At 34.6% G+C, this 5,297-nt stretch overlaps 1 annotated feature.

The window, feature by feature from the left end:
* Nucleotides 2,434-3,186: an enhancer, noted in NCBI's record as "OCT4-NANOG hESC enhancer chr2:184543441-184544193 (GRCh37/hg19 assembly coordinates)". NCBI's record gives its function as "activates a minimal SCP1, AML or CMV promoter by ChIP-STARR-seq in naive and primed H9 embryonic stem cells {active_cell/tissue: H9 hESC(naive and primed)}" and the evidence as "EXISTENCE:reporter gene assay evidence [ECO:0000049][PMID:30033119]".

Genomic DNA, 5,297 nt, shown 5'->3' on the forward strand with positions numbered 1-5,297 from the left:
ACTGTCCACTTTCTTTCTATGGGGGTTTGGGGGCAGGAGGGGTGTGGAGTTGCCAGAAATGGAGCTCTGAACAGGGAAGGAAAGAGAAAGCACAACAGAAGAATCAGGCAGCTGGTCAAACTTTCAAAAAGTAATGTTAAGAGCAAATAGATTATGCAGAAGAATAAACTAAAGGAATGATATTCTACATCAAATTTTTTTCTTCACATAGTAAGGCTGAGCAGACCAAAATAAACAGCCAGAGAAGTTGGTCATTTTTACTTCACCATTCACCTATCCTAGCCTCATTCTCCCATCTCATAGTACCTTTCTGAAGTATCTGATGTGCCTGGTATTGGATTTAGTAAGAGCTATCAATAGTATATGAATAGTGGATATAAGTATTCAAGTAATACAAACCTGCATTTTACCTCTTTACTGCAAAATATCCTATGCCACATGCCCTTCCTTTTAACCAACTATTCTTTCACATTTTCCTACTGAGACATCAACATGGAAAAGCTAGTTTTTAAAAAAGTTACATATTACCCAAAAATAGTATACAGTGGAATACAGACATTCACACTTCAACCCAAAGGAATGAAATTATTATTATATAATTTCAGATACAGAAACATGTTGTTAAGGAGAGACTTCTGTGGCTTTTGCCTGGTCCATCAATGTATATAAGATTGGGACCAACACATAAACTCTTGGAGCTTATAGATCCACATTTCCTCTTCATTTTTTAAAGTTTTAAAATGTATGCATTTTTGCGAATATCTTACTGAATTCCTGAAGAGTTGGTGATAAAAACTTTTTGCTTTCTGCAAGATGCTATTTCTATCTCTAATTACTCATCCAAGAAAGAAACATCTGTTGTTGTTCATTACCATTTTCTTCTCATTTCCTTATAGCCTTTATGTATTTTGAAAGTATCTTGGATTATGTTATTGTATTTTTCTAATATTTCTCATTGACATAAATAAGACTCATAGACATTAAAAAGCCAATCTGAACTGAACCACAGAAAATTCAGACAGGGAGCAGTGAGTTCACCCTCCTCAATTTCTTCTCTTTTCCTTTTTTTTTTTTTTTACTTCATGTCAATATTTATAATTCTGTTGCATTTTAAAAAATTTCTTTGCAGAAATTAAGCCTTAATATCGCAGACCAAAAATCAAGTCTCTCTTCTTACCTAGATATTTGGTAGACTTCTTAACTTTTGTCATAAATTATGTGATTTTCATTCTTGAGAGAAGAAGTAGGATTTGCTCCTCTTACTATTGGCTACATTATTAAGATTTTAATAATGCTATTGTTGGGAAAGATACATACTACAGGATCAATAAAAATATTACTTTTAATTTTATCAAAATATGATAGAAGGCCAATTCCATAAGACACAGCATTAGAAGATATCTCAACTATTTGTTATTAGCTTTATATCTTTATTTGCTTGAGTGGTTTATTTAGGCCCCAAATTATATAGATTATATATTAATATATAGATTAAAATTCTCAAGCATTATTTTGATCTTCTTAACTCATGATACCCTTTCCTTAAAGTTAACTTTATAAGATGGCCTTTCTTATCTTAGAACATGAAATCTCTTTTGGCCTCCTAATTGTATCACTCATACAATTTATTAGCAAGTTAGCTCACAGTGTTCTGTTTTATTAGTTTTCTTTTATTGCATATATCCTGTAATTACAACAATTTTTAAATCCTTGAGGAAAAAATCAAGTTCTATTCCTTGGCAAGGTAAAATTAGCACATTGTCATGCACACATTTATTCAAATAATGAGGTTGCTAAGGTGGGGTGGTGTGGAATCATTATAGCAGCCGAAGATCCCACCAAGAACTATAAAACCAATATTGAATACAAAAGTTATATTCTTAAAGGCATCAGAATGCTGCAAAAGAAATAATAACTAGAGACATTAAGTTATGAAGGGGGTTGAACTTCTCAGAGGTAAGTTGCGAGTCTACAACCACTTTTACCCTTAGGGCCTTTGTGAATTCTGGGTGAGGGCTAGAGGCTACACATCTGGACTCGGCACAAACAGAGGGCTACTTCTAGAGAAGAGAAATACCAGCAAAAGTTTTGGCAGTGATATGAAGAAGTGACAAAATTCAAGATTGAAGGACCTGAAACAAAGACTGTTTCCTCTCAAAAGACTTGTTTTCCAAATCCTGAGACTACAATGCTGAAGACTAAAGGGCTAAGCCAAAAAAGGCCTTAAAAACAGAACTTCCCATTGTATTAGTCCATTTTCACACTGCTATAAAGAAATACCCAAGACTGGGTAATTTATAAAGGAAAGAGGTTGAATTGACTCAATTCTGGGTGGCTGGGGAGGCCTCAGGAAACTTATAATCATGGTGGAAAGGGAAAAGCACCTTTTTCACAAGGCTAGAGAAGAGAGTGAAGAAGAAACTTGCCAAACATTTTTAAAACCATCAGATCTCATGAAAACTCACTCACTGTCATAAGAACATCATGGGAGAAACTGTCCCCATGATCCAATCACCTACCAGGTTCCTCCCCCAACAACTAGGGATTATAATTATGTGGGAGATCAGTCAGAGTGGCAGAATAAATTATAGGAATAGAAAGAAGCAAACCTTCTTGGAAAACCAGGGGGCTTTGCATAGCTTCAGGCAGTTTGGCTGAAGACAGCCAGATTTTCCTTTCAGGAGCCAGAGAGCTTAGGGCACAGATACAAAAGAAGGTAGAGTAGTTTATCTAAACAGCTGTTTTATTCATGTGGTCCTAAGACCAACCTTTGATCATTCACGGACAGGATGGCCCTCTCCAGGGGAGAATGCCCAGGTTAATTACCTACAGGTGTGCTGACTCAAAGTCTTTGTCAATTAAATCTGTACTAAATAAATGTGAGCATTGCCAGCTTAGAGGAGCTGCAAACTCTTCAGGCCCTAGTGCCATCAGCCCCCTGGCCCGCTTTTTCACTGAATATCCGTGTCTGAGTACGTGTCTCATCTGTTGTGCAGTTGGGGTCTGCAGGACAGACCCCCGCATAATTCAAGATGAGATTTGGGTGGGGATACAAAGCCGAACTGTATCACCCATCATCTAGTAGTCCTATAAAGGCAAAGACTCACATATGAGAGGAGTCCCTGTAACTATAAGGCTATAGTTAAAGGCTCTAGAAAAAGGGGCAAACTGTCATAATTTGCAGTTACAAGGGGCCTCAGGTAAAAGCCTCTGAAAAAGCATAGTAAAATTTGTTATATTTTCTTGGTACCAAAGGTCAACAGCCCTGCAAGCTCTCAAGTGAAAGCCTTAGAGGCTCATAGTCTAAAAATGGGTGAAAATTAGAGATAGGTGAGCCTTATTAAACTTCAAGGCAGGCTCAGATTAGCTCAGTATCTAATTGGTAGTCCTCCCTGACTCTATAAATGCAGCAAAGAAAAGTCTTCTTTATGATAGAATAAAATACCACCTACATCCTATACAGATCTTTGTTCTTAGTGTACAGCAATCAAAAATATTAGCCAAACCATACAAAGAATAACCAAGAGAAAAAAATCAGACAAGAGAAGAAACCTATAGGATATCCATATATTTTAGCTATCAACAATTAATGTTTAAAATAGCTATAGTAAATTTGTTAAATTACAGGTATATATGTAATATATAATACATAATATATTTCATATTACATATATTATGTATGTCATATATAATATGTAATGTGTACATATATGTGATATGAAATATACATCTCATATATGACATATATATCTGTAATTTAACATACCATACATTAACATATATAACATAGGTAATATATATTTCATATTACATATGTAATAAATTCATTACATATATTACATATGTAATATGTAATAAATTCATTAAATTACACACACACACACACACACATATATATATATATAGAGAGAGAGAGGTGGCAAATTTTACTAGAGAGCCAAATGGGCAGCTTAGTGCTGAAAGAAATTAGTAACTGAATGGATAGATATAAAGAGAAGATTGGCTATAGCAGCAGAAGAGAAGATTAGCCAAATGCTCAAAGCAAAAGGTAGAGAGATAAAAGGTAGAGAGATAAAAGGGAGAAAAAATTATAAGATACACATCAGACATAGTTAAAATGTATAAATATGTAGCATATGTGATTTGAAGTCACAGATTGAGGAGAGAATAAGACAAAAGCAATATTTAAAGTGATAATAGTTGGAAATGTTCCAAAACTGATGAGCAGTATCAATGCACAAATTTAAAAGTTCTGCAATCCCAAGCTAGATGCATATAAAGAAAACCACACTTAAGTAAATTATAAAATTTTGAAAATCAACTACATAGTGTTCAAAATATCAAGAAATAAGATAAAGCAGCAACAATGAAAATGACATCTAACTTCTTATGAGAAATTATGGAACCTAGAAGGCAACGAAATAACATCTTTAAAGTATTGAAAAAACCAAAATGCCAAGAAAGACTTCTATGCACACAGAAAATATACTACATCAGCAATAAAAAATAAGCATTTTTAGACAAAAACTAAGAGCATTCATTACTATACCACTTGCACTTAAAATATACTAAAGGGATTTCCTTAGGCATGAGAAAAATACCAAAGGGGAAAACATTAAAAACTTTAAAATTAATAAAGTATACTTAGAAGGCTAAACATGACGGTAAATCTAAAGGAATACTGTACATACAAAATAATAATGACCTAGGATTTAAAAATATGTATAAAATTAAACATGACAAGACAATAACACAAATGTTAGGAAGTAAATTAATTGAAGATGAACTTGACTCTTTAAAACTTTTAAAATTAAGGTTTAACACACATACTTGTTTTTTTTTTTTTTTTTTTTTTGAGACAGAGTCTTACTCTGTCACCCGTGCTGGAGTGCAATGGCGTGATCTCGGCTCACTGCAACCTCTGCTGCCTGAGTTAAGTGATTCTCCTGCCTCAGCCTCCCAAGTAGCTGGGATTACAGGCACCCACCACCGCACCTGGCTAATTTTTGTATTTTTAGTAGAGATGGGGTTTCACCATGTTGGCCAGTCTGGTTTCGAACTCCTGACCTCAGGTGATATACCTGCCTCGACCTCCCAAAGTGCTGGGATTACAGGCATGAGCCACCGTTCCTGGCCACCTGAGTCTTAAAGTTTAATAAATATTTATATGTGTATATGCTCATATAATCACAACTGAAACAGAAATTTCCAACATGACAGAATGTTCCCTTGTGTCTCTCCCACTGTTCAGACTTCTGTCACTATAAATTAGTTTACCTATTCTGGAATTTCATATG

The sequence above is a fragment of the Homo sapiens genome, chromosome 2, assembly GCF_000001405.40.
Source record: "Homo sapiens chromosome 2, GRCh38.p14 Primary Assembly".
Lineage (NCBI taxonomy): Eukaryota > Metazoa > Chordata > Mammalia > Primates > Hominidae > Homo > Homo sapiens.